This window comes from Homo sapiens, chromosome 16 (genome assembly GCF_000001405.40).
Source record: "Homo sapiens chromosome 16, GRCh38.p14 Primary Assembly".
NCBI lineage: Eukaryota > Metazoa > Chordata > Mammalia > Primates > Hominidae > Homo > Homo sapiens.
The window spans coordinates 8,849,391-8,873,533 of NC_000016.10; the positions used below are offsets into that span (position 1 = coordinate 8,849,391).

Consider the following 24,143-nt stretch of genomic DNA (forward strand, 5'->3'; position numbering starts at 1 on the left):
CTTCCAGGTCTGAGAGCCACTCTTTCTTTACTCTGGATTTCTGTCACATCGGGGGCCCCTCCCTCTGCGGAGTTGCATGTTGCTGTTCCTGATGCACAGACTCCTCCCCCGCTGCTTTTCTGCCCACTGGGTCAGGATCTGCCATTCTTTACAAGTTTCCTTAACGTATTGCGTCAAAGCGAGACAACCGAGTCTTACTCAAACTTGTTTTAACCGGAGATGGAGGGTTGCTGCTGTGTCACCGCCTGCACAGGGCTGCCCTCAGGTGAGTACCCCGAGTCTGCCAGGCTGGGTGCTGATGCGCGGAGGTTTGGGCCGTCCCTGCCCCAGTTCCCACAGTGGCTGCTTGAGACCCTCCCCAGGCCCCTCGAGCCCCTCCTGCACTGTCTGCTGCCTCCCTTCTGCAGTCAGAATTGACACTCCCCTTCCACCTTCTTTGTCATCACATTGCATCCCAGGCCAGCTTCCTGGGGCTTACTCCAAGGGCATCGGCTTGCCCCGCACTGTGGTGGGATGTAAAGTGATAACAGCTAAACGACGCATGCACAACATGTCCTGGTGCCTTCTGCGTGACCCCAGAGCAGCAGGTTCTGCACATGGCAGGTAAGAGCACAGCTGCCAAGACCCCAAGCCTAGTTCTGCTGCTACAAGCTGCTGCGTGACTTAAGGTGAGTTCATCTTCGCCTCAGTTTCCTCCTCTGTCAAATGGGATAGTCCTTACCGTGTATGGAATTTAAAGCACTTTGAACAGTGAGTGTGAGCCATTACTAACTCAAGTAATACCCCTTCCCAACCCAGAACCCTATAAGGCAGGGACAGTCAGTCCCTCTCTCTGCTTTAGGGGGTTGCAGGATAAAGACACCGTCACAAGAAATTTAAACACAGTAGGTAAATTTTGAGCCACAGCAAAGCACAGAGGTTGCATCCAGGCCAGCTTAGCACTGTTGAAAGTCACCATCCCCAGCACTGCAGAAGCTGACCCTGAACTCAAGGTCACCCAGGGCTTAAGCCTCAGAGAAAAGGCCTGGGTTGAACCTGAGCAGTGGGTGAGTGCAGGGCAGGCCTCTGGCTCCCTGGAGGGAGAGGCTAGCCAGGAAGTTGAGCTTGAACCTGATCCCGAGGGAGAGGTGTGGGGCATGCTCATGATCTGTCCGGGAAGGTCTCTCCAGCTACTGGAAGGGGAGTGCCCACAGGGGCCAGGAGAAGGCAGTTGGGCAGATGTTGCCGTAGTCCGGACACATCCAGGCATACGTGGTTTTGAATCACTTCCTCTCCAAGGGCTGCTGCTTCCTCTCCACCCCTCCCAAGTGTTCTGGCTCTGGGCCCCAGCTGGCCACCTCAGCCCAGGCAGGCTCCTCCAACCTGAACGACAGGCAACCTCCACGCTGCCTGCCACGGCACCCCAAAGTCAAGACGTAGAACTCATTCCACCTCCTTCACCCGAGGCTGCTTTCCCAAACGTCTTCCCAGTCCCACCTTCAGTTTTGTTTTTTGTTGTTGTTGTTGCTATTGTTTTTGAGACAAGTCACTGTTGTTGCCCAGCCTGGAGTGCAATGGCACGATCTCAGCTCGCTGCAACCTCCGCCTCCCCGGTTCAAGCAATTCTACTGCCTCAGCCTCCCGAGTAGCTGAGATTACAGGCCCCTGCCACCATGCCCAGGTAATTTTTGTCTTTTTAGTAGAGACGGGGTTTCACCATGTTGGCCAGGCTGGCCTTGAACTCCTGACCTCAGGTGATCCACCTGCCTTGGCCTCTCAAAGTACTGGGATTACAGGCATGGGCATGAGTCACCATGCCCGGCCTTTTTTTTTGTTTTTGAGACAGAGTCTCACTCTGTTATCCAGGCTGGGGTGCAGTGGCACAATCTTGGCTCGCTGCAACCTCTGCCTCCAGGTTCAAGTGATTTTCCTGCCTCAGCCTCCCAAGTAACTGGGATTACTGGTATGCACCACCACGTGCAGCTAATTTTTGTATTTTTAGTAGAAACGGGGTTTCACTATGTTGCCTAGGCTGGTCTTGAACTCCTGACCTCAAGTGATCTGCCCACCTCGGTTACCAAAGTGCTGAAATTACAGGCGTGAGCTACCACGCCCGCTCCCCACCTTCAGCTTTTGCCAAACCCTTCCTTGGCTACCCATGTAGTACTCCATATAGTAAGTAAGTCAGCAAATCTCATTGTTTTGAGCTAAGTGCCTACGTTAGGCTCTCCCTAAACAGGTTTGATGGGCTGGTTTTTTCCCAATATGCTTTGGAAATCATTGTATAATACTGACAAGAAAAGTGTCCATCTCTGCACCACCCAAAATCACTGCCTCCCTTGGGAGACACCGGCCAGAGCAAAGCCTTCCCAACAGAGCACAGCGACCCCATAGAGTGGCCCCTGCCTGTCACTGCTCTCCTGGAAACCAAGAACAGGAGTTCTTACACCTGCCCACCTTCTGCCCTCACTCCCACTGCCCCAACAGCAAACCCTTCCTCCCCTGCTATGGACCTTGAAAAGCTCTCCGTCCTAGGACTCTGCCAGCCCCGGGCCCTCAAGCCTCATCTGCTTCCAGCCCCTGACTTCATGCCTGAAGAGCAGCAAGCTTTTTTTTTTTTTTTTTTTTTTTTTTTTGAGACTGGGTGTCACTGTCACCCAGGCTGGAGTGCAGTGGTGCATTCACAGCTCATTGCAGCCTTCACTTCCTGGGCTCCAGCAATCCTCCCACTTCAGCCTCTGGAGTAACTGGGACCACAGGCTCATGCCACCATGCCCAGCTAATTGTATTTTTGGTAGAGACCATGTTTCGCCATGATGCCCAGCTGGTCTCAAACCCCTGAGCTCAAGCCATCCACCTACCTCGGCCTCTCAAAATGCTGGGATTACAGGCGTGAGCCACTGTGCCCAGCCCTAGCAAACGTTCATCAAATGTCTATAGCAGTGGCCGGGTGCTGTGGCTCACACCTCTGGTCCCAGCACTGTGGGAGGCTGAGGCAGGAGGATGGTCTGAGTACAGGACTTCGAGACCAACTTGGGCAATGTAGCAAGTTGCTCTCTACAAAAAATTTAAAAATTAGCCAGGCATGGTGGCATATGCCTATAGTCCCAGCTACTCAGGTGGCTGAAGGAGGATCACTTGAGCCCACAAGGTTAAGGCTGCAGGGCAACAAAGCGAGACCTTGTCTCAAAAACACAAACAAAAAACACTTCTATAGCAGGAATGAGCCAGGGACTGTGGACAGTGTGCCCCGAGGCCCGTCCTCTCTTCCCACAGCTGATGGGGATGAGGTGTAACTCACACATCCTAAAAGCTTCAACAGGGCACTGGAGCGCCGCTGACCAAGTTACTGGCATTTTCTATTGCCAGGAAGCCGCATTCTCCTCTCTGCTAAGCTTTCTCATGCTAGAGAATGATGACTAAAAAACAGATGATCCCATCTTCTTATTCACCATCCCCTAAAAAAAACAGACTGCCACGTGGAATGTGTCAGCCTCACCTGGGGGAGACACCCTTATCTGACGACTTAAAAGGAAAAACTTGGTGAGCCAGCCTCCACACAAACACACGCATAGCCTTGCACAAAACAAAAATTTATTGGGAGAAAGATGGCTGATGGGAGGCAAGATCTGGATTCAGGAATCCTCAATTTTAGCTCTCGCTCTGTCACCAAAACCCTCCGTCCCTCCCAGAGCCTCGAGGAGTTTCCCCTTGTGTAAACCGGTATCGCGTCCCTTCCAGCTCTGACATCCTGCGGTTCTAGAATACCCATTGATTGAAAGAGCTGTGGCCAAACAGGAAGGACAGAGTAAGAGCCGCTGACAAAGGATTCTGCCAAGACAGAATCCCAGGGTCACAGGAGAGAGGCTTGGGGCAGTGAAAGCCCTCTCGGGTCTTGGCTGTGGAAGTGTGGACTGTACCAGCAGATGGGCCCTTGGGAAGCCAACAGGGAACAATTCAAGGCTGGAGAGAAAAGGCCACCTTTGACCCAGCAGAAGGCAGAGGCGGGAGAGGAGGGTGAGGATGTACAAGGAGCATCGCAGGCGAGGAAACAATGGCCAGGACCTAACTGTGGTGGGAACTGCCTTTGTCTCCACACACTCGCAATCAACATGCGTATTTGCTATTCTCAAACAACTCCCTTCCACCCCCTTAGGCTGAAAGGACAAACTCATCAGAGTTGAGGAGTACCTACCTGATGAAGCTGTTCATGCTTCCAGCATCAAACTGGACGTTTACTGTCTGCCCAAAAGCCAGTTTCCAAAAGGTTTGCTTGCCTCTGTTCAGTGGATTCTTGACTACATATAGGTCATATATTTCAAAAAATAATGCCTAGCTATTTCTACTTTGAAATCATGACTAAAGCCAAACCACAACCACAGCAAAGATAACCTAAGGATTTGTTTACCAGAAATACCTACAAAAAAGTTTGCAGGCCGGGCGCGATGGCTCACACTTGTAATCCCAGCACTTTGAGAGGCCGAGATGGGCAGATCATCTGAGGTCAGGGGTTCAAGACCATCCTGCCCAACATGATGAAACCTGGTCTCTACTAAAAATACAAAAATTAACCGGGTGTGGTGGCGCATGCCTGTAATCCCAGCTACTCAGGAGACTGAGGCGGAATTGCCAGAACCCTGGAGGGCAGAGGTTGCAGTAAGCTGAGATCGGGCCACTGCACTCCAGCCTGGGTGACAGAATGAGACTCAGTCTCCCACCCTGCCAAAAAGTTTGCAATGTCGGCAGCAAAGTGCAAACAGAGCCGGCTCTGGGTGAAAGCTTTAGTTATGAAAAATAAGAAAAAAAAAATCCCTAAGCATTTCTTAACACTAGTTTTAAAGAAAACCCCCTCTCCAAAGGTATGTTTCTCCTTCAACTTTCTTGACTTTGCCAGGCTGTCAGGATGCAAGCTACCTACTCTTTTCTGGATGGATCGGGACAAAGTTTTTAAACAAAGACTGTGTCCTCTCCACAAGCCCTTCCCACCACCACCACCCCAGCCCCCCGCCGCCATAATTACAGGGGCTGTGAAATGGCTGTTGAGTGATGGTCACACAACCAGAAGGCAGATGAAAAGGTCAGGCTCTAAGAGGGGTTCAGCCTCCCAGTACCAGCCTGCTGTGCCCAGGGGTGGGAGTGCTGGGAGAACTGTCTTCCCCAGACAGGCAGCTATGCCGCCTCCCACTGCAAAGGCACCAAAAGGCAACATCCGTCCAATCCAAAGACCGCCACCCCCGCCTTTCCCCACCCACTTCAAGCCAGCTCCCCTAGAACCAACCAAGCCAAGAATTAGAAAACTGCTTTGCCCAGGCCCCAGGAGAGGCGCAAGGGGCACTTAGGTGGAAATTTGCCTTGGAGAAGTCACGCAAGGTCCCTGTCAGGCTGCCAGGGGGCCAGATCTGGGAATCTGGGGCCTCCAGCTCCAGGAGGAAGAGGGATTCTGTGGGTTGAGCCCATGTGTCTGAGCAGCTGGAGAAATACCACCCTTGATCCACTCCCTGGGATGGGGTTGGAACCTCCACTCAGCCACCAGTGGGCACCTCTCCTTTTTAAATGCTTTTAATGCTCTTCAGATGGTGAGAGGTTGTTGCAATGGTCATAGGCTGTGCTGATGGCCGGGAACACCCCACACCCCACACCTGCCCCCCATACCCCTTCCTCCAGGAGATACTTGAGAGGGACCATGCCCGGCTGAAGCCCCGTCTCGTGTGGAAGAATGTCATCTCCAGTGTCTGCTGCCTCCTCCCTGCAAAGTCTCCCACAAGCACAGGACAAGGGGTGCTTCCACCATCTCCTAGGAGCTGATGACATGTCCAGACCAGGTCTCATGCTTGGTGCCTGGTGCCAGGTGAGTGATGACGACCTCCACGGCCTGCAGCTTCTCATTCTTGGGTGGGATGGAGCACATTTTATAGGTGACCTCGTCGCCTTCCACTGGGACATACTCCCCTTCCACACTACGGGGGCATAAATAAAGCAGTCAGGGCTCACACCGGGACACAGCTCCCTTCCCCAAGACACCAGCCACCCTTCTGGTCACACAGCCACCAAAGCAGGCACCATCTGACCAACCACCGGGAACCTCTTTCCAAAGAACTGCCCCTCCACCAGAGGGAGCTGCCACACTGCCCCCAGCCTCTGTCCTAGGCAAGGAGGCCCTGGCCCAATCAGCTCCTTCCCTGGGACTTTTGATGCTGGAACTGAAAGAGTTCAGCCACCTGTGGGTGCTCACATGGTGACATGAAATGTGGGAGGGAGCCTGGGCTTGTGACTGAAGAGTAAAGACAGCCAGTCCAAGCCAGAGAGCCAGAGAGAAACAAGGCCATCATGGAGTGAGAATCCGAGTTGAGGGGTGGCCTGGGCAGGGCTTTCCTGAGGTCCTCAGCACTGCAGCCCCTGGTTCCAGGAGTCTCAGAAACCGCACCGTGTCTTTGTTCTCAAATTCCCCAGTTTCCCAGCCTGCCTTTTTTTGAGACAGAGTCTTGTTCTGTTGCCCAGGCTGGAGTGCAGTGGTGTGATCTCAGCTTACTGCATCCACCTCCCGAGTTCAAGTGATTCTCCTGCCTCAGCCAAGTATCTGGGACTATAGGCACCACAGCCAGCTAATTTTTGTATTTTTAGCAAAGTCAGGGTTTCACCATGTTAGCCAGGCTGGTCTCAAACTCCTGACCTTAAGTGAGCCACCTGCCTCAGCCTCCGAAAGTGCTGGGATTACAAGCGTGAGCCACCACGCCTGGACTCCCGGTGAGCCTTCAAGAAGGTCCCTTTGGTGCATGAAGCTAGTTCCTGGAGGGGCCTCTCCCTGTGACCACCCCCAGGAAGGTTCCCTTACTTTCTAGGGGACATGAGTCACCCTCTCACATGAGACTGGCATCTTGATGTCCCCTTGATGAAACCCCCCCAGAGGAAAACCCCCTTCAGATGCTAAATGCAAGGGCCAGCCAGCTCCCCTAGTAACTGGTTTGTTTTGATTGGAGAATCGTATGGTGAAGAGTGTTTCCCTCTTTGATCTGGTCACGAGGGAGCTCAGAAATAAATCTGCAGCCTACTTCCAGCAGCAGAACCAGACATCACAATATTTCCATCTTCCTAAATATTTCTTTGCCCCAACCTCTATGTTTTCCTTACTGATTCAAAATCCTTTCTGGGACAAGGCAGTATGGAAATACCCTTACACATCCATGTATGCATGCATATGTGAAATGCGTCACCTTGGTATTCTCCTGCCTGCCGATCTGATAGGTAAGCATGGGGCGGGGGTGGGCAAAGGAGGGGTAACTCCCCCATTGCAGTGGGCTCCTCTTTTCAGAAATGTGGTTTCCGTGTTAGCGGGTATGCTGTGCAGAGTAGGACTCTGTCTGCCCCTGCCTGAAGTAAAAGACTTGGGGGTGCTTAGGCCAAAGAAGCAGGTAGGGACAAGGGTGCAGATCGAGGGTCCTCCCCTGTCTAAAGGCTGCCCAGAGGATCAGAGGTGAAGCATGGGGGGCTGGGTGCCTTCCAGCCCAGCCCTAGGATGTGTGCGCCCCACCCCCGGCTCCCCAAGGGTTTTCAGACACTCAGGAAGGAAGGACGTCAGTAAGCATGCAGGAGGAGAAAGACCCACCCCAAACTTCCTTCCTGGAGCAAAGGGGCAGGACAGCCCCCAGCCTCACCAGTCCACCTCCCCCAAAGGAGGGCAGGAAGCTGGACTGGTCCCCAGGCCAAACAGGGCTCCCCAGCCTCATGGGGTGTCCTTGGCCAGATATAATGGGCACTCGGACTCACCCCAGCAGTCCCTGCTGCTCACACACATGCACCATGCACAGCTGACACCACCCTGTCTCCCACAAGCATAGTCGGGCACCCCCAGATCCATTTCCATCACTTTCTGGCTATGTGATCTTGGGCAGATCTGTTTTTTTTTTTTTTTTTTTTTTTTTTTTTTTTTTTTGAGATGGAGTTTTGCTCTTGTTGCCCAGGCTGCAGTGCAATGGCGCGATCTCGGCTCACCATAACCTCCACCTCCTGGGTTCAAGTGATTCTCCTGCCTTAGCCTCCGAAGTAGCTGGGATTACAGGCACCCGCCATCATTCCCCGCTTTTTTTTTTTTTTTTTCTATTTTTTTGTATTTTTGTGATGACAGGATTTCACCAGGCTGGTCTTGAAGTCCTGACCTCAGGTGATCCGCCTGCCTCCGCCTCCCAAAGTGCTGGGACTACAGGTGTGAGCCACCATGCCCGATCCTTTTTTTTTTTTTTGAAATGGACTTTCACCCTTGTCACTCAGGCTGGAGTGCAATGGCGAGATGTCGGCTCACTGCAACCTCTACCTCCTGGATTCAAGTGATTCTCCTGCCTCAGCCTTCCGAGGAGCCGGGATTACATGCACCTGTCACCACGCCCTGCTCATTATTTTTTTTTTTTTTTTTTTGAGATGGAGTCTTGCTCTTGTTGCCCAGGCTGGAGTGCAGTGGCGCAATCTCGGCTCATTGCAAACTCCGCCTCCCAGGTTCACACCATTCTCCTGCCTCAGCCTCCCGAGTAGCTGGGACTACAGGTGCCCGCCACCATGCCCGGCTAATTTTTTTTGTGTTTTTTTAGTAGAGACGGGATTTCACCATTAGCCAGAATGGTCTGGATCTCCTGACCTCGTGATCCACCCACCTCGGCCTCCCAAAGTGCTGGGATTACAGGCGTGAGCCACCACGCCCAGCACACACAAAACCTTACACACCCATTCACAAAGACACACCCAGGGACAATCACAAGTACCGTGTCGCCCCCAGCCTCACATCCCCCAACACAGCTCCGTAGAGTCTCACAACCCCAACCCAACACACACACAGGAGCACAGCTGGAGCACCAGCCACAGGCAGAGTCACACAGGCCCAGCCATTCGTCCTCACACCCAGCGCCCATCAGAGTCACACACCATCCCCACCTCCACAGGGCCAAGGAAGCGCCCACCCCAGCCAGGCCACCCAGACCTGCCGCTGACTCACTCAGAGATGTGCAGGAAGATGTCGGGGCCGCCATCAGCTGGAGTAATGAAGCCATGGCCCTTGGACCGGCAGAAGCATTTGCAGACTCCTTTGTAGACGGGGCCCTGTGAAGCCCGCACCGTCCTGACAGAGAGGGGGAAATGTCAGGGGCCCCATCAGCGCTCCTGGGCACACAAAGCTCATTCCAGCCCCTGCCCACAGCTGTGCCCCATCAAGCCCTGGCCAGGACCGCCATGTACAGTCACACAGGCTGAGGACTGCACAACCCTCAACCCTGGGAGCCGCTCACAAAGACGCTGGGGGAAAGGACTCTTTGGATGACCCTGGCCAATTTTCTCGGGCCTGTTTTCCCTCCTGGAAAGAGGGAGTTGAACTAAAACATCACTGAACATCCCTCCAGAAACTAATGATTTACTATTAATAACACAAGCATCCTCCACTCGCAAGGCCTGAGACCTGCATCTGCCAGGCATTATGTGGGTCCTTTGCAGCCCTGGTGCTGTGCCCATTTTGCAGCTGCAGAATTCACAGTCTCACAGGGAACCAGACTCTCATGTGTGGTTAAAGCCCAGCGATTCTGACCCCAGCAACTGCCCACCCATTGCCACTCCCAGCTGGTAACAGGTTCTTCTGGGCTGGGCAGTACCCTGAATTTACAAGGCGCCTTCCTAGTTTCTCACCCTCAGCCCACGGCCCAGCCCCAGGTCTGCCTATTTGGCAGTCCGGGACATAGGCCCAAAAATGGCCAGAGACACAGTGAATCTCTGGCCTCAGGCAAGAGATCCATCTGAGAACGCGTCCCCAGCCTGCTCCAGACTCACGCCGAGAAGGTCCTCGTCCGGCGAGTGGGCAGTGGGCTTGGGACCACGTTGCCCCGCAGAGGGGATGGTGAGCGCTCACGGCTCCGAGGGGTGTCCAGCAGCCCGACTGAAGCTTGATGGGTGGGGGGCTGTGGTGGTGGGGGAGGCTCAGATGACATGGCTGACCTGGAAAGAGAAGAGGCTGTCAGGGGCTCGTGCCTTGCAAGGTAGGGACCCTGTGCTTACCCCCATGTCCACGTCTGACAGTCCAGTATCTGAGGCTCATTCCTCTCGGGCACCTCAGCACCATTGTCACCTTGTCTGGGAGCACGCCTGGCAGGGTCAGATGCCTACTCTGGGCTCCTGAAGCAACCGTGGGGCCCCCTCGATCATAGCTCTTCATGAAAATGCCACATCCTCCCCCATGACCAGGATGGCATCGGTCCCCTCTGTGTCCCCAGCACAAGGCATGGATCCCGGCACATTTGGGACACATAGTATTTGTGGGAGGGAAGGAGGAAGGTGAGCAGAAAACCCAAAGCCAGGGGCCGGGCGCAGTGGCTCACACCTGCAATCCCAGCACTCTGGGAGGCCGAGGCAGGCGGATCACTTAATGTCAGGAGTTCGAGACTAGCCTGGCCAACATGGGGAAACCCAGTCTCTAATACGAATACAAAAATTAGCTGGGCATGGTGGCAGGCACCTGTAATCCCATCTACTTGAAGGCTGAGGCATGAGAATTGCTTGAACCTGGGAGGCGGAGGTTCCAGTGAGCTGAGATCGCACCACTGCACTCCAGCCTGGGCTACAGAGCAAGACTCTGTCTCAAAAAAGAAAACCCAAAGCCAGGGAGATTTTAATGCCAACCACCTAGATCCAAACTCAGCCACTCCACGGACCCTCCCTGACGCTGCTGGGAGCCAGACACCACAGGGAAGCAGGGGCAAAAACTGACCCTCACGCAGTGTCCGCCTCCAGGGAACTGTGGAACACGTCGCAGAGAGCTCAAGCGCCACGTTTGGATCCCTGAGCAGCTGTCACAAGCCTGCACCCAGGACTGGGGGGCCTGCTGCGAGAGCCCAAAGGGAAAGGGAGAATTTCCAAGGCTGCATCCAGCTCCATCAGGCCCAGTGAATTTCCACACAGCCCGGGTCACCACGCTGTTATGAAATCAAATTCCTTCTGTGACCCCTAGTATGTACCGGTAAATCCAGCTGGAGGGCGGGAATTCCCTAGCTGCTGCTGTGCTTTTGACAATTTTTCAAGAGCAGGACACTCGCTGTACACAATAATCACTGAACATTGAATATGAAGGTGTCGGCTCTAACGTGGCCTCAGCTCGAGGTTCAGGGGAAAGAGAAACAGTCCAGCAGTCAGAGGCCCTTGGGTAAGTCCTTTCCCATCTCTGGGCTCAGTTTCCGAATCTGCAAAGTGGGGCAGCTGGGTGGGCATCACTTGGCACCTGCGCAGGGCTGGTGATGGGGGTACGAGATGAAGTAGGGAGAAGCCTAACTAACTCAGGACGCCACTCAACACCACACAGCCGGGAGGGACAGCAGCAGCCCTGGATCGGTTTGACTCAGGTCCCATGGGGTTTTCAAATTTAGATTTGAAGCATGGGCCAGGTGCGGTGGCTCACACCTGTAATCCCAGCACTTTGAGAGGCAGAGGCAGGTGGATCACCTGAGGTCAGGAGTTGGAGACCAGCCTGGCCAACATGGTGAAAACCAGTCTCTACTAAAAATACAAAATTAGCTGGGCGTGGTGGTGGGTGCCTGTAATCCCAGCTACTCGGGAGGCCAAAGCTGGAGAATTGCTTGAACCAGGGAGCTGTGGGTTGCAATGAGCCGAGATCACACCACAGCACTCCAGCCTGGGTGACAGAGTGAGACTCCGTCTCAAAAAAAAATAAATAACTTTTATTTTTTTGAGACAGTGTCTCACTGTCACCCAGGCTGGAGGGCAGTGGCATAATCACAGTTCACTGTAGCCTTGACCTCCATGCCTAATTTTTTTTTTTTTTTTTTTTTTTTTTTTTTTTTTTTTTTTTATAGAGACAGGGTATCACTATGTTGCCCAGGCTGATCTCAAACTCCTGGGCTCAACGGATTCTCCCACCTCTTCCTCTCAAAGTGCTAGGATTACAGGCATGAACCACCATGCCCGGCCTGAACTATCTTAAACATCCCAGGGGGTTTCCTCAAAATCCAGGTTTCCAGCTGCTCATGGAAAGAAATGAAGCTCTCACAACCTTCAACCTCAGTTTGCCCCCCCAGTCCCCTCATTTATAGGAGTCTTCAACCTACATCACCCAAAAATCCCACCGCACCCCCCGAACCGCCTTCAAGCATAGCCACCCAAGAACCAGGCCCGACTGCTCAGAGGAGAAGGGATGCCCCATCCCTGAAATGTCAGAACCCCTCCCCAGACATTGCTGCACTCTCCCGTTGGGCCTCAGTTCTGTCGGGCTGGGAAGCTGGTGGCTGGCTTGCCTTCTGGAGGAGGTGGCATCCTACCTCCTGTCCCTTCTCTCAGCTACAGCCGCGGCCAAGGAGGAACTCCTGAGTCCGGGGAGCCCCCACCTCAAAAAGGCCCCAGCTGCTGGCCTGGGGGCCAGGGCCCCCGCATGACCTACCAGCACAGGTCATAGAGTCCTAGAATGTTCAACGCCCAGAGTTCCAGGAAAGAGGCTGGCCCTGGGAGGGGAGGGCCCTGTCCAGGCCTCCCAGGACAGCAGATGGGAGCAGTGGCCTCGCAACTCCACAGTTAGAGACACTGCCCTGCCTTGTTCTATCCAAAGTCTCCCTCCCTCCTTTCTCCTGGAGTCAAGCATAGCTGACTTTTTTTTTTTTTTTTTTTTTTTTTTTTAATTTGAGATGGAGTCCTGCTGTCGCCCAGGCTGGAGTGCAATGGCACAATCTCGGCTCACTGCAACCTCCACCTTCTGGGTTCAAGTGATTCTCCTGCCTCAGCCTCCCAAGTAGCAGGGGTTACAGGTGCCCGCCATCACGCCCGGCTAATGAAGCATAGCTGACTTCTAATCCTACCCCTTGCCTGCTGTGTGGTCTTGTACAAGTTACTTAATCTCTCTGGGCCTCAGTTTCCACATCTGGAAAATGGGAATTATAATAGTCCCGATTTCACACCATCAGGCTGAACTGAAAACAAAATAATACACACTAAGCACTGGGCACACTGTCCGCCCAGGTCCAGTGAGCAGTAATTGTCAGCTACGACTGTTGTTATAATTGTCATCATAAAGGCACTCAACAGACACGTGCCCAATACCGAGCCCTGTTCAAGGCCCCAGAGACAAAGGGCTGAACTTGAAGCCAGAGAATAAACAGTTAAATAAACATAAACCAGATCATTACAGATCCCAAAAGGGCTGTAAAGAAACAGACAGAAGGGGATAGGGGGAGAAGGGTGGGAATACACACGCTAATCAGGGTGCCTGCAGGACCCTGAACAGCAAGAAAGGGGTAGCCATTTGCAAAACGGAGGGAGGCTGTTCCAGGTATAGGGAACAGCCTGTGCAAAGGCCCTGAGGGCCCGGGTGGGACTGAGGCCAGTGGGGAAACCATGTGATGGGTGGGGGACTAGGAATGGGAGGCAGGAAAGGCGGTGGAAAGGGTAGGGCCCGCTCAGGAATCATGCCGCGTCATCATCATCATCACTGTCATTGTCACCATCGTCGTCCTCCTTGCATCTTCCATTTGTCACACCCATTTTCCCCTGGGTGAATGGCACAGACCCAAAATGGGGGCCCCCTTCTTTCTCCACCCAAGCCCCCTCAACACCCCAAGTGCACCCAATCCTTCAGAGATGCCACTGGAAGCTCATGGCCTGTAGGGGTGAGGAGTCTGAGGGCAGCACAGGGCCCCTCTGTGTCCCAAGGGCCCAGCACAGGCACTGGCACAGAGCAGGGTCTCCAGACGGTCCAGGAATGGCCACAAGGATGGCTTTTTTTTTTTTTTTTTTTTTTTTTCAGATAGGATCTCACTTGGTCACCTAGGCTGGAATGCAGTGGCGCGATCATGGCTCACTGAAGCCTCTCAACCTCCTGGGCTCAGGTGATCCGCCCACCCCAGCCTCCTGGGTTGTGGGACTACGGCCACGTGCCACCACAACCAGCTCATTTTTTGTAGAGACAGGGTTTCAATATGTTGCCCAGGCTGGTCTTAAACTCCTGGGCTCAAGCGATCGGCGCACCTTGGCTTCCCAAAGTGCTGGGATTACAGGCGTGAGCCACCACACCCAGCTTCCAAGCCTCATTCTTTGCCAGCATTAGGACCCAAAGCCCCAGCTGGCTGCCACTGCATTGGTGTGCACTCAGCACCATGCCCAGCCCAGCAGGAGGTGGCTACATTCCTGCTCACCTGATAGTGGAAGAAACTGAGGCACGGAGCAGACGTGACTAGGGGCGGGGGCAGTGCCAACTGGGAGACCCAGGAGCTTTATCCAGCCTCTCATGGCCCATCTGGGCTGAAGCCAAGCTGGGGTGGCCAGAGTAGGCCTGGCCAAGGGCCACTCACTCCCCAGTAGGCCCAGCAGAGAGGAGTGAATGGCCTCAGTGCGGGGGAGGGCCGGGCAAAGTCCAGCTGGAAAGAAAACAACTGGGGGGCGGGTAACCAGGCACCCAGAAGCCAGCTCTGAGGCCCTGGCCAGCCTCTGCTGTGTCCCCTCCACAATACACACATACACAAGGATGGGGCCACACAGCAGCCCCGCCCACCAGCACAGTCCCAGCTTCCAGCCAGCCACTGCTCTCCCAGCAATACCAGGCATGGCCTTGGAGTGTCCCCAGCAGAAGACAGGGCCTGCCCTCTGTGACTAGCCTTCAGCTCCCCACAGCTGGGGGAGGGAGGAAGGCTGCAAACAGATCCGCCACTCAGATGAGCTTCTGGCCTGCAACAAACTTCGACCAAATGTCACGACCAAGGTGTCATGACTGCCAGGCTGCATGTACATGTGTGCTCGTTTGTGCACAGGTATGTAGGTGTATGCACATGTGTATGTGTGTGCTGTGTATATACGCATGTGTACACATACATATGTGCCCACACATGGCTGTCTCTGCATCTGAGCGCATACACGTGTATGCATGCGTGAACTTGTTGCCGTCTGTATGCACACGTCCATGGAGCGGGGAGCCTCACCTCACCGCACAGCACGCTGGGCACCTGTGCTGCCACAGGGGACCTTGATGAACTCTGCCACTTCCTATTGAACCAACAGATAAGGGAGTGGGACAGACCATGACTACCACCACCACAGCAGTGTCCTGGGGCCATTCTGCTTACTACTTTACAACACTTCACACAGCCCAGCTCATTCTATCCCCATTTCACTAATGGGAGAACGGAGACACAAAGAGTCAAGTAACTTGCCCAGGGTCGCCCGGCTAACAAAGACCCTGGTGAAATACGGAGTAAGTCAGACAGCAGAAATGCTACGGAGAAAAAGCCAGCAGGGTAAGGGGGAGAGGCTGCACCAGGAGGTGCCCAGCTGGCCATGCACCCCCTTCCCCAGTCAGCCCCCAGGCTCTGATGAGTGCCCGGCCAAGGGAGGGAGCCCAGGGTGGTGGGGGCAGGAAGCCACGCCCACCCTGACTGCCCCAGGGATGGGTGTGTCGGCTGGGAGAAGGGGGCCTCGGCCGAAAATAGCCTGGGAATTTTCCGTAGGCTCTGCAGCTCCTCCTGGAAGGTTCTGGAGTTCAGCTGGGTACCAAGACTCTGGCTTTCCCAGCCCCTGCTCAGCCTGCCCGCATGTCTGGAGACTTACGGCCCAATCATGCAGCCCCCATTACCCACTCCCCAACTTCCTGCCCTCCTGGCCTGAAAACCCACCACCCACATCAATGGGAGCCAAGCAGCCCTGTGCTTACTGCAAGGAGGGCTTTAGCAGTGCTATCAGCCATTTACACTCTAGTAAGAGGGAGCTCATTGAAGGAGACTCCATTCATTTTTGTTTTTGTGAGACAGAATCTCCCTCTGTTGCCCAGGATGGAGTGCAGTGGCACAATCTCAGCTCACTGCAGACCCCCGCCCCCCAGGTTCAAGCGATTCTCCTGCCTTAGCCTCCCGAGTAGCTGGGACTACAGGCATGTACCACCACACCCAGCCAATTGTTGTATTTTTAGTAGAGACGGGGTTTCACCATTTTAGCCAATCTGGTCTCGGACTCCTGACCTCTCATGATTTACCCGCTTCAGCCTCCCAAAGTCCTCGGATTACAGGCATGAGCCACCGTGCCCAGCCAGAGATTCCATTCTTAATAGCTTCAGCCCCTTTATTGAAGACAGGATGATAGAAGGCAGGGGGATAAGAGTTCAAGTCAGACACCTCACTCTTGGCAAAGCGAGAACCTCTCCAAGCCTGCTCTGCAAAATGAGGGTGTCTTGAGCCTTCCATGGGATGCTGGCTGGGGAAGGCCAGGGTTGGGCATGGTGTTGGGGCAGCTTCCAGCCCGGAGCCAGCCCACTGCTGGCAGGTGTGGTGGGTAGTGGCCCGCACTATGGGGATGGGGCAGGCTGTAGTGCTTTCATACACCCTACAGCCACTGTCCACAGACTTCTGCGTCAGGCCCTGTTGGGGGATTACAAACATCAACTACATGCACGTAAACATCGACCCAACAGGGGAGGCACTTTTAGCAGCCCTGTTTTACAGATGAGGAAACTAAGGCACAGAGTTAAGCCAGTGATTCTACTTCCTACTTTAATGCAGTCAGGAATCTCTGGGGATCTTGTTCAAATGCAGATTGCCATTCAGCAGGTGTGGGGTGGGGCCTGAGATTCTTCATTTCTTTTTTATTTTTTTTGAGACAGGGTCTTGCTTTGTTACCCAGGCTGGAGTTTGGTGGCACAATCATGGCTCACTGCAGCCTCAACCTCCTGGGCTCAAGGGATCCTCTCACTTCAGCCTCCCAAGTAGCTGGGACTACAGGCGTGTGCTACCACACCCAGCTAATTTTTTTATTTTTTGTAGAGACAAGGTCTCACTGTGTTGTCCAGGCTGGTCTCGACCTCCCAGGCTCAAGAGATTCTCCCACCCCGGCCTCCCAAAGTGCTGGGATTACAGGCTCCAGATTCCTGGCCAAGATTCTACATTTCTAAGGCGCTCCCAGTGAGGCAGCTGTCCCTGACCCAGGGAACACGGCAGTAGCCGGGCTACACTGGCCCATCTCACAGCCCAAGGCTTAACAGTGCAGGAGGTGGAAGGGAAATGGCGCAGGGATCGGGGTGAGACTCTAGCAGAGTAGCGAAGTTACCTTAGTGCACCTGGGTTCCTCCTTTGTAAACAGACAGAGACACTGAGCTGACCCATCCCAGTCTCCAGCGCAGCTGAGCCCCAGCCTGGGAGAACTGCCGGCACGTGGGCCGAGAGGCGGGGCGGGTCAGCTGAGCCCAGATAGAAGGGTCCCTGGAAGCGATAGAGGCCGAGAACGAGCCAGAGGTTGACGCAGCAGCGTCAGGCTGGCCTAGCCACATTCCCCTCCATTGTTCCGGGGAGAGCGGGGGGTCTGGCGAGGGAGGAGCAGAGAGAGAGGAGGGGGAGGGACACGAAGGGATGGGGGTTGGAGTGTCCAGGGGGAGGGACGGGAGGCAAAGGGGAGGGGGCAGCCAGGCCGGAGTCAGCCCTCCGCTGGCTAAGGACCTGAAGCCAACAGTCACAGAGAAGTGCAAACAGGCGGGCAGGGAAGGTGCAGCCCGGCGCCTACGTCTGCCCAGAGCCCCCTCCCAGGCCCCGCCAAGCTGGGAATAGCTCTTCCGCCCTCAGGAGCCCCTGAGTGCTGGGAAGAGGCCGGAAACCCGAGGAGTGTACCGGGAACCCAAGGGGGCCTCCAACATTGCCATTGCCTGTGCCCCCATTAGCACCCCTGGACGGCCTCGACCGGACGGGCGACCCCACCCAGCAGGGAGACGGTCACCCCACCGCCACCACCCACCTGGGACCCTGCGCCCGCCCCAGTTCTCAGCCTGGACTGCCCCTCCTGCGGGAAGCCCAAGCCCTCCTTCTCAACAAGAACCCTACTCTACACGCCTCCCCCACTCAATCCCTCCATCCTTCCCTCCATTCTCGGGGGGCTTTGGCTCAGACCTGAGATTGAGCCCTGACTGGTCCCCACTCCCTCTGTGACCCCTGCCAGGCGATTTCACCGCCCCACCCGAGTTTCCTCATCTGTCAAAGGGGACAGGAGCGGTGCTGCGTCGCAGGGCTCGGACGCTGTGCAGATGGTGCCGCGAAAATGCCAAGCGCACGGCGGGCTCAGTCCACAATAGTGCGGCTGATGGTGGAAGTGTCAGGCACGGGCCCATCTGAAATCACCTTCCCTCCCATTCCTGCCCCTGCTGATGGAACACAAACCAAATGCGCTGGCTTTGCCACTCGGTGGAACAAAGACCGATCCCCTACCTAGGGGACCCACCGTCAACCACCCTCAACCCCACCCCATGGCCCCACGCCAGGCCTAGCTCAGCTCATTGAAAACATCTACTCCCAGCCGGGCTCTGCGCCTCTTTCTTGCCCTGAAGGGACCAGCATCGAGAACTCACGGTCATCACCGAGGCCACCCAGGGAGTGCAGAGGGCGGTGGGGTCTCCAAGGAGGACCCCGAGCCCAGAGGAGGGCCAAAGGCCCGAAGGGAGGGAGAACAGAGGCAGAGAGAGGCTGGAGAAGGTAGTGGCGGAAGATAACAGGAAGCCCTGCTGAGAAGTTGGGGACTTAGACGACAATGGGACTTCGGTGGACGATTTTCAGCGTGGGGTAGATCTAAGCGGATTGTTTTTCTAAGTTCCCTCTGGCTTCAGAGTGGCAGCAAATGACAGGGGCAAGCAAGACTGGGCACAGAGAGACTGAGAAATATCAAAACAGCAAGTTAAAAAACAGTAGCTTACGTGTCTCCCGGCACGGGGCTAGCTGCCTCCTTTTACTCTCACACACCCTCTCATGCCAGAAGAAGTCAGAGCCCAGTCTGCAGATGGGGAAACTGAGGCTCCGAGAGGCCTCCTATTTGGCAGAGATTTCCCCACCTATTAAGACCCAAGGCCCTGCCTGGAGCGGGACGTCTCCGCCTCCCCCAGCACACACATCCACTCCAACCCCAGAAAACCATAGGGCCGGAGGCTTCCTTTTTAAAAATCAAAAAAGAACATTTCACTTCCGGCCTGCAAACCTGAACCGCCAGCGCAGCCTGCGGAAAGGGGGCCTGTGGGCGCGGGTGAAGTTTTTCTCCAGCGCCTAAGGCACCCCCACCCCCATCCGGGCGCAAACACCCGGGCCCAGCGCGCCCGGCGGCTCCTCCTCCCCCAGATGCGGCTAATCGCGCGGCGCCAGGACGGCTCCCCACCTCCCCCGCCGGGCCTGGCCGCCGTCCCAACCTCGAGCCACAGCTGGCGCGGCCAGGCCCGGCGGGGGGTGGCTCTGCTTCCCGCGTGCGACGCCCCCCGCGCCTCGCCCCACCGCCCGGCGAGTCCCCCGTCCAGGGCTCCCGCCCAAAGGCAAAAGCAGCGGGGAGGGCGGGAAGAGCTTCCCCTGCACGCAGAGAACAGGTGGCCAGGCGGGAAGTACTACCCGACGTCCGCCTAGAATCCTTGCCGCTGTTGCCACACCCACCCCTTCCCCTGGGGAGGAGCAACCCGCGTTCCCCAAACAGGCCCCGAGAAACCCAGCCCGGAGCCCTCCTCTGCCGAGCTAGAAGACCCTGCAGGATGGGGGACGATGGAGGCAGAGGAGGCCGAGGCCCCACCCCTGCGGCTCCCGGGGCCGCGGGCCAGGGGCGCCTATCCTGGGGTCCCCGAGAAGAGCTCCCTACCCTGCAATCCGTTCTGCTCCGCCAGCCGCTTCGCTCCGACTGAGAGCGCGGAGCTGGGGAGGGGGCGTGGCCCGAGGGGGGGTGGGGCGCCGATCCCCGCCCCCAGGAGCTCCCGGCCAATGGGGCTGCGGGAGGGAGCCCGGGACGGTGGGGGCGGGCGGGGCGGGAGTGGCCCGGACAGGACCTTTGTGTCCGCGCCTTAGACTGGCGGGAGAGCGGAACGCAGAGCGCGGGACGTAGGGGCCGGGGCGGGGCGGGGCGGGGCGGAGCTGGGCTGCACCCACCAGCAGAAAACGCCCCTGCAAAGTGGGGGAACTGTGTCCCTGCGCCCGTGCAGTTCCTTCCCCTCGCCACGCGCGCCAGGTGCGGCTCCCACCTGCCTTTGGCTCTAAAATCTGTATAATCCCGGAGGGTGTCACTTTTAGCAGAAAGGAAATAAAGGAATGAAAAGAGAGACGGAAGAAAACAAGCAAAAAACAGAAAGGAGGAAAAGGGAAAGAAAAAATACACACGCACACACACACCAGAAAAACAGGGTTTTGTTTTCTCGTTGGGGATTTTGATTTTGTTCTCTTCTCTTGTTTCATTTCTAGCCTTCCTTGAGTCCTCTGTTTTTGGAGGTAAAAAATGTTACCTCTGTTTTGCAGGAGAGGAAACTGAGGCACAGAGAGGCGACCAGCCCATGGGCACGGCCAGTCGAGAGCAGCCCCTGAAGGCGAGCCTAGATCCCGGGACCAGGGTCAGCTTGGTATTTGAGGGGCGCGGGGAAGGAGAGAGGTCCCCGGAGCTCGCCCGGGACAACAGGGCCCCCGGAGGCGGCGGTGAGGACTGTGCCTGCCTCACTCTGCAGCCCCTATTGGGGCCACTGGGGAAAAGGCCCAGCAGCGAAACCAACTAGTCCAAGCCAGGCAAGGAACCGTCCTAGACGGCTGGTGGGAACAACCGCGCAGCTGCTGTGGAAAAAGCCCGGCGGTTCCTCAAACCACGAGCCCTGGAGTCTCCATAAAACCCATCAACTCCACTCCTAGGTGTCTGCGCGCCCAAGAGAAATAAAAATGTTTGTCCACACAAAAATTTACTTGAGGCCGGGTGCGGTGGCTCACGCCTGTAATTCCAGCTCTTTGGGAGGCCGAGGCAGGAGGATCACTTGAGCTCAGGAGTTGGAGACCAGCCTGGCCAACATGGCGAAACCCCGTGTCTATGAAAAATACAAAAATTTGCCGGGCTTGGTGGCGGGTGCCTGTAATCCCAGTTACTTGGGAGACTGAGGCAGGAGAATCACTTGAACCCGGGAGGTGGAGGTTGCAGTGAGCCAGGATCATGCCACTGCACTCCAGCCTGGGCGACAGCGAGTCTCCGTCTCGGGGGGGAAAAAAAGTTAAAAATAAATAAATAGGCCGGGCGCGGTGGCTCACGCCTGTAATCCCAGCACTTTGGGAGGCCGAGGCGGGCGGATCACGAGGTCAGGAGAACGAGACCACGGGGAAACCCCGTCTCTATTAAAAATATTAAAAATTAGCCGGGCGCGGTGGCGGGCCCCTGTAGTCCCAGCTACTCGGGAGGCTGAGGCAGGAGAATGGCGTGAACCCGGGAGGCGGAGCTTGCAATGAGCCGAGATAGTGCCACTGCACTCCAGCCTGCCTGGGCGACAGAGCAAGACTCCATCTCAAAAATAAATAAATAGATAAATAATGATTTACTTGTTGGGCTGGGCGTGGTGGCTCACGCCTGTAATCCCAGCACTTTGGGAGACCGAGACAGGAGGATCTCTTAAGCCCAGGAGTTTATGACCAGCCTGGACAACATAGTAAGACCCCTTCTTTACCAAAAAAAAAAAAGTTTTAATTAGCCAGGAGTAGTAGCACCCACCTGTAGTCCCAGCTACTGGGGAGGCTGAGGTGGGAGGATCCCTTGAGCCCAGGAGATCGAGGCTGCTGTGATCCGTGACTGCACTGCTGCACTCCAGCCTGGGTGACAGAGTAAGATTTATAGCAGTATTACTCATAGTAGCCAAAAGGGAGAAACAGCTCAGATGTCCATCAAGTGATGAAAGGATAAACAAAATGTTGTGTATCTATACAGTAGACAACTATTCACTCATCAACAGGAATGAAATCTTGATGCAAGCTACAACATAGAGGAACCTTGAAAATATGCTAAGAGAAAGAAGCCACACAAAGGCCGCACTTTGTGTGATTCCATCTGTATGAAATGTTCTGAATGGGCAAATCTCTAGAAACAGGAAGTAGATTAAGGGTTGCCAGAGGCTGGGGGTGGGGGTGCGGGCTAGACGGTTGATACTTAAAAGGTACAGGGGTTTCTTTTTGAGATGATGAAAATGTGCTGAAAGTGATGGTGGCGATAGTTGCACAAGTCCGTGGATATACTAAAAATCATTGCATTGTGTGCTTTCAATGGGTGAACTGTATGGTGTGTGAATTATGACTCAGTTAAGCTGTTTTTAAAAAGTCAAGGCCAGGCACAGTGGCTCATGCCTGTAACCCCAGTACTTTGGGAGGCCTGGGAGGGCGGATCACTTGAGCTCAGGAGTTCACAACCAGCCCAGCCAACATGGTGAAACCCTGTCTCTACTAAAAATACAAAACTTATCCCGGTATGATGGTGCACACCTGTTATCCCAGCTACTCGGGAGGCTGAGGCATGAAAATTGCTTGAACCTGAGAAGTGGAAGTTGCAGTGAGCCGAGATTGTGCCACTGCAGTCCAGCCTGGGCGACAGAGCCAGACTCCACCTCAATAAATAAATAAATAAACAAATAAACAAGCGGGGACACTGGGGTGGGGGTGGGGGGAGGCCATGACCAGGAGGGGCACAAGGTGGGATTCTAGGATCTGGTAAACTTCTGTCCCTCAGTCTGGGTACCTGGGTGGGTTCACTTTATGAAAATTCATCCACGGCCAGGTGCTGTGGCTCATGCCCATAATCCCAGCTACTTGGGAGCCCAAGACAGGAGGATGCCTAGAAGCCAGGAGTTCAAGACAAGCCTGGGCAACATAGCATATTTTATTTCTAAAATTAAAAAAAGAGGAAGAAAGAAAGGGAGGGAGGGAGGAGTGAGAGAGAGAGAAAGAAAGAAAAAAGAAAAAGGGCTGGGCACAGTGGCTCATGCCTATAATCCCAACACTTTGGGAGTCTGAGGCAGGCACATCATGTGAGCGCAGGTGTCAGAAGTTACAGTGAGCTATGATCATGCCACTGCACTCCTGGGCAACAGAGGGAGGCCCTGTCTGTAAACAAACAAACAAACACGGACTTTGCTTTTTAGGGCAGTTTAGGTTTACAGCAAAATTGAGCAGAAAGGGCTGGGCCTAGTGGCTCACACCTGTAATCCCGGCACTTTGGGAGGATCACCAGAGGTCAGGATTTGAGACCAGCCTGGCCAGCATGGTGGAACCCTGTCTTTACTAAAATAACAAAAATTAGCTGGGCGTGGTGGTAGCGCCTGTAATCCCAGCTACTCAGGAACCTGAGGCTGCAGAATTGCTTGAACCCAGGAGGCAGAGGTTGCAGTGAACCGAGATCGCGCCACTGCACTCCAGCCTGGGCACCAGAGTGAGTCTCCATCTCAAAAAAAAAAAAAATAGCTGGATGTGGTGGCACATGCCTCTGGTCCCAACTACTTGGGAGGCTGAGGCAGGAGGATACATTGAGCCCAGTAAGTCGAGGCTGCAATGAGCCATGATTGCACCACTGCACTCCAGTCTGGCAATACAGTGAGAAATCCCGTCTCAAAACAAAACAAAACAAAACAAAAAAACTGACCAGGCGTGGTGGCTCACACCTGTAATCCCAGCACTTTGGGAGGCTGAGGCAGGCGGATCACCTGAGGTCGGGAGTTTGACACCAGCCTGAGCAACATGGAGAAACCCAGTCTCTGACAAACTACAAAATTAGCTGGGCATGGTGGTGCTTGCCTGTAATCCCAGCTACACGGGAGGCTGAGGCAGGAGAATCAACCGGGAGGTGGAGGTTGCCGTGAGTTGAGATCGCACCATTGCGCACCAGCCTGGGCAACAAGAGCGAAACTCCATCTAAAAAAAAAAAAAAATGCTGAGCAGAAAATACAGGGATTTTCCAAACACTCCTGACCAGCACACACGCACAGCACCCCCTCGCTATCCACATCACACGCCCGAGTGGTACATTTGTTACAGTGGGTGAACCTACACTGACACGTCATCGCCCAGAATCCGTGGTTTAAATGCGGGTCACTCCTGGAGCTGTACGTTCTATTTGTTTGAACAAATGTATAATGGCATGGATCTCCCATTACAGTGTCATACAGAGTTCTTTCACTCCCTGAAAAATCCTGTTTTCCAACAGCTTTATTGAGATATAACTGACATCCAATTAAATGCACACATTTAAAGTGTATAGTCTTTTGTTGTTGTTGCTGTTGTTGTTGACATGGAGTCTCATTCTGTCACCCAGGCTGGAGTGCAGTGGTGCGACCTTGGCTCATTGCAACCTCCACCTCCTAGGCTCAAGCCATCCTCCCACCTCAGCCTTCCCAGTAGCTGGGACCACAGGTGCGCAACACCAAGCCT

At 54.9% G+C, this 24,143-nt stretch overlaps 1 protein-coding gene and 2 long non-coding RNA genes across 15 annotated transcripts, besides 7 other annotated features; 2 read left to right on the plus strand and 1 right to left on the minus strand.

The window, feature by feature from the left end:
- LOC100130283 (uncharacterized) lies at nt 79-11,027 on the plus strand. Its single transcript, NR_147908.1, has 5 exons — nt 79-265; nt 459-603; nt 1,543-1,660; nt 5,644-5,827; nt 10,738-11,027. It is a non-coding gene; the product is annotated as an uncharacterized LOC100130283 (long non-coding RNA).
- Nucleotides 993-1,132: an enhancer, noted in NCBI's record as "active region_10354". NCBI's record gives its function as "activates an Ori minimal core promoter by ATAC-STARR-seq in GM12878 lymphoblastoid cells {active_cell/tissue: GM12878}" and the evidence as "EXISTENCE:reporter gene assay evidence [ECO:0000049][PMID:35858748]".
- CARHSP1 (calcium regulated heat stable protein 1) lies at nt 3,552-19,616 on the minus strand. 13 transcript variants are annotated; one of them, XM_047433886.1, is made up of 5 exons: nt 19,142-19,329; nt 17,032-17,052; nt 9,781-9,945; nt 8,960-9,082; nt 3,552-5,936 (listed from the first exon to the last, which is right to left on the minus strand). In XM_047433886.1, exons 3-5 carry the CDS (start codon nt 9,936-9,938, stop codon nt 5,774-5,776), a joined length of 444 nt encoding a protein of 147 aa, XP_047289842.1. In that variant the 5' UTR covers nt 9,939-9,945; nt 17,032-17,052; nt 19,142-19,329; the 3' UTR covers nt 3,552-5,773.
- Nucleotides 10,526-11,240: an enhancer, noted in NCBI's record as "H3K4me1 hESC enhancer chr16:8953773-8954487 (GRCh37/hg19 assembly coordinates)". NCBI's record gives its function as "activates a minimal SCP1, AML or CMV promoter by ChIP-STARR-seq in naive H9 embryonic stem cells {active_cell/tissue: H9 hESC(naive)}" and the evidence as "EXISTENCE:reporter gene assay evidence [ECO:0000049][PMID:30033119]".
- Nucleotides 14,837-14,996: an enhancer, noted in NCBI's record as "active region_10355". NCBI's record gives its function as "activates an Ori minimal core promoter by ATAC-STARR-seq in GM12878 lymphoblastoid cells {active_cell/tissue: GM12878}" and the evidence as "EXISTENCE:reporter gene assay evidence [ECO:0000049][PMID:35858748]".
- Nucleotides 16,496-17,133: an enhancer, noted in NCBI's record as "H3K27ac-H3K4me1 hESC enhancer chr16:8959743-8960380 (GRCh37/hg19 assembly coordinates)". NCBI's record gives its function as "activates a minimal SCP1, AML or CMV promoter by ChIP-STARR-seq in naive H9 embryonic stem cells {active_cell/tissue: H9 hESC(naive)}" and the evidence as "EXISTENCE:reporter gene assay evidence [ECO:0000049][PMID:30033119]".
- Nucleotides 17,134-17,773: an enhancer, noted in NCBI's record as "H3K27ac-H3K4me1 hESC enhancer chr16:8960381-8961020 (GRCh37/hg19 assembly coordinates)". NCBI's record gives its function as "activates a minimal SCP1, AML or CMV promoter by ChIP-STARR-seq in naive H9 embryonic stem cells {active_cell/tissue: H9 hESC(naive)}" and the evidence as "EXISTENCE:reporter gene assay evidence [ECO:0000049][PMID:30033119]".
- Nucleotides 18,779-18,838: an enhancer, noted in NCBI's record as "active region_10356". NCBI's record gives its function as "activates an Ori minimal core promoter by ATAC-STARR-seq in GM12878 lymphoblastoid cells {active_cell/tissue: GM12878}" and the evidence as "EXISTENCE:reporter gene assay evidence [ECO:0000049][PMID:35858748]".
- Nucleotides 18,979-19,938: a silencer, noted in NCBI's record as "silent region_7181". NCBI's record gives its function as "represses an Ori minimal core promoter by ATAC-STARR-seq in GM12878 lymphoblastoid cells {active_cell/tissue: GM12878}" and the evidence as "EXISTENCE:reporter gene assay evidence [ECO:0000049][PMID:35858748]".
- On the plus strand, nt 19,891-20,649 carry CARHSP1-DT (CARHSP1 divergent transcript). Its single transcript, NR_186721.1, has 2 exons — nt 19,891-19,938; nt 20,223-20,649. It is a non-coding gene; the product is annotated as a CARHSP1 divergent transcript (long non-coding RNA).
- The last annotated feature ends 3,494 nt before the right edge of the window (nt 20,650-24,143 follow it).

What these genes read in the sequence shown, in the direction of transcription:
- CARHSP1 (XM_011522444.3), bottom strand. Translation starts at nt 9,938, where the DNA reads ATGTCATCTGAGCCTCCCCCACCACCACAGCCCCCCACCCATCAAGCT. An exon ending in CGGACGAGGACCTTCTCGGC is followed by an intron (nt 9,083 to 9,780) that starts GTGAGTCTGGAG and finishes CCTCTCTGTCAG; the next exon opens with GACGGTGCGGGCTTCACAGG. An exon ending in ATCTTCCTGCACATCTCTGA is followed by an intron (nt 5,937 to 8,959) that starts GTGAGTCAGCGG and finishes ATGCCCCCGTAG; the next exon opens with TGTGGAAGGGGAGTATGTCC.